At 43.2% G+C, this 2857-nt stretch overlaps 1 annotated feature.

The window, feature by feature from the left end:
* Positions 2457 to 2626: an enhancer, noted in NCBI's record as "experimental_51262 CRE fragment used in MPRA reporter constructs". NCBI's record gives its function as "activates a minimal promoter by MPRAs in K562 erythroleukemia cells, with activity observed for both the introgressed and non-introgressed 19:34591176 variant alleles {active_cell/tissue: K562}" and the evidence as "EXISTENCE:reporter gene assay evidence [ECO:0000049][PMID:34662402]".

Here is a 2857-nt window from a genome sequence, read left to right on the forward strand (position 1 = left end):
GACGTCAAAGGGTCACAGGATCCAACTGAAAGAGATCCCAATAGTCAAAACTGGAACAACTTGAGTAACAAAATAAAATAGATTGGATCATAACCCAAAGCATGGAATAAACACCCATGAGTCCACACTGATATTAATGATTGAATAAATAAATGCAGTTCTCCTTCCGCATCCACTGCAAATTGGTTCCGGGACCCCCATAGATACCAAAATCCATGGATGCTCAAGTCCTTTATATAAAATGGTATCGTATTTGCACATAACCAGGACACATCCCTCTGTACACTCTAATTATATTTAGATTACTTATAATACCTAATACAATAGAAATGCTAGGTAAATAGCTGTTCTGTGTTGCTTGTTTTATTTGGTTTTTGTTTTGGTTTGGTTTGGTTTTGGTTTTTTTGTTTTTTTGTTTTTTGTTTTTTGTTTTTGAGATGGAGTTTCGCTCTTGTCACCCAGGCTGGAGTACAGTGGTGCCGTCTTGGCTCACTGCAACCTCTGCCTCCTGGGTTTAAGCGATTCTCCAGCCTCAGCCTCCTGAGTAGTTGGGATTTCAGGCACCCACCACCACGCCTGGCTAATTTTATATTTTTAGTAGAGATGGGGTTTCACCATGTTGGCCAGGCTGGTCTCAAACTCCTGACCCCAGGTGATCCACCCGCCTCGACCTTCCAAAGTGCTGGGATTACAGGCGTGAGCCAGTGTCCCCGGCCAGTTTGTATGAATTTTTACTGGGTTTCTTTCCCTAATATTTTTTATCTGTGGTTGGCTGAATCCACGATGTGGGATCAGAGAATACAGAGGGCTGAGTGTAGAAGGGGGAGAAGAGACACGTCTTCCATGCGGAAGAAGTTCAATGAATTCTCACAGATACTCCACCCCCACAGAGGTGGAGCATAACTCCTCACTCCTGAAGTGTGGCCTGCATGTAGTGACTTCCTTCCAAAAATGGGAGAAGAGTAACTTTACAGTAGAGAAACCTGACCAACACTATCTCTGGCAGGTGATTAAGGTCAATGCCAACAGTGATAAGTCATATTGATAGTACGGTCATGCACTACATCATGACATGAGTTATATCATTATAATCATGGTGAGTTGTATAATTACTTCATCATATATTACAATGTAATCATAATAGAAATAAACAGCACAATAAATATAAAGTGCTTGAATCATCCCCAAACCATCCCTCAACCCCCACCCTAGTCCATAGAAAAATTGTCTTCTGGTCCAGCGTGGCTCACACCTGTTATCCCAGTACTTTGGGAGGCCAAGGTGGGTGGATCACTTGAGGCCAGGAGTTCAAGACCAGCCTGGCCAATATGGCGAAACCCCTCCTCTATTAAAAATACAAAAATTAGCTGGACATAGTGGCGCACACCTGTTATCCCAGCTGCTCGGGAGTCTGAGGCACAAGAATTACTTGAACCTGGGAGGCAGAGGTTACAGTGAGCCAAGATCTGCCACTGCACTCCAGCCCGGGTGACAGAGTGACACTCTGTCTCAAAAAAAAATAGAAAGAAAGAAAAATCATCTTCAATGAAACCGGTCCCTGGTACCAAAAAGGTTGGGGACTTCTGTGTTAAGGGATCTGCTTCATTGAAAGCGATGAAACTAACAAAAATTCATGGAAGTTCTCTATCAGATGCAGAGAAACTTCTAATGACCTGGATTGAAGACCAAACACAGACACATATCCCTCTCAGCACCGTGACAATCACCACCAAAGCAATGTCGGTTTGCAAGGTTGAAAGCAAAGGCTGGACCTGACTGTGGTGTTGAATTTACTGCTCTGGGTATTTCAAATGATTCAAGAATCCTTACTCCTTACATAAAGTGCAAGTTAGTGGTGAGTCTGTGGGTGCTGTTGTGAAGGCAGCAGAAGAATTTTTGGAAACTCTGGATGAGCTGATTGTGGAGGAAAATTACTTGTCACAGCAAATCTTCAATATGAATGAAACCTCCCCATTCTGGAAACGAATGCCTGAAAGAACTTTCATTCATAAGGAAGCCAAGTCAATGTCAGGTTTGAAGACTTTTAAGGACAGAGCAAGTCTTGCCTGGCAACAATGTTGCAGATTACAAACTGAAACCCTTTATGAGGACCCCAGGGCCTTCAAGCCTGTCAATTAGCACACACAGCCAGTGCACTGCAGGAGCAATAAGAAGCCACAGATGACCCAGCTCCTCTTCCAAGAGGCCCTCCTGAATTACTCTGCCAGTGAGATGGAGAAGTACTGTTTGGAGAATAATATATCTTTCAAGATTGGCTTATTGATAATGCTCTTCTTCTTCTTTTTTTTTTTTTTTTGTCATTTTCATCTCAATATCAAAGTGGTGTTTCTCCCTCCAAATACCACCTCTTTGATCCAACCAATGCATCAAGGAATTATAACAGCTTTTAAGACTATTACCTAAGGAGGACTTTTGCCCAGGCTGTTGCTGAAACTGAGGAAGACCCTGAGAAGACATGGATGTAATTTTGGAAGGATTACAACATCTATTACTGTGTCAAGCACTTTGAGCTTGGGCTTGGGGTGATGCCACCGAGGAATGTATGAATGGCATCTGGAGGAAGACACTCAAGAGGTTTTTCCATGATTTCAAAGGATTTGCCAAGGATGAGGAGGTTGCAAAAGTCAACAAGGCTGTGGTTCAGATGGCAAACAACTCTAATCTGGGTTTGGCTGAGGATGGCATTGAGGAGCTCCTAAAGGAATGAGGAGTTATTGGAACTGGGACAGGAACACCTAGCTGAAGAAGGGGCAAGAGCAAAGGGAGCTGCTGGAGAAGGAAAAGAACTCTCAGGAAAACTCACAGTGAAAAGGTTGACAGAAGCTTCTGCAGACTT

The sequence above is a fragment of the Homo sapiens genome, chromosome 19 (assembly GCF_000001405.40).
Source record: "Homo sapiens chromosome 19, GRCh38.p14 Primary Assembly".
Classification (NCBI taxonomy): domain Eukaryota; kingdom Metazoa; phylum Chordata; class Mammalia; order Primates; family Hominidae; genus Homo; species Homo sapiens.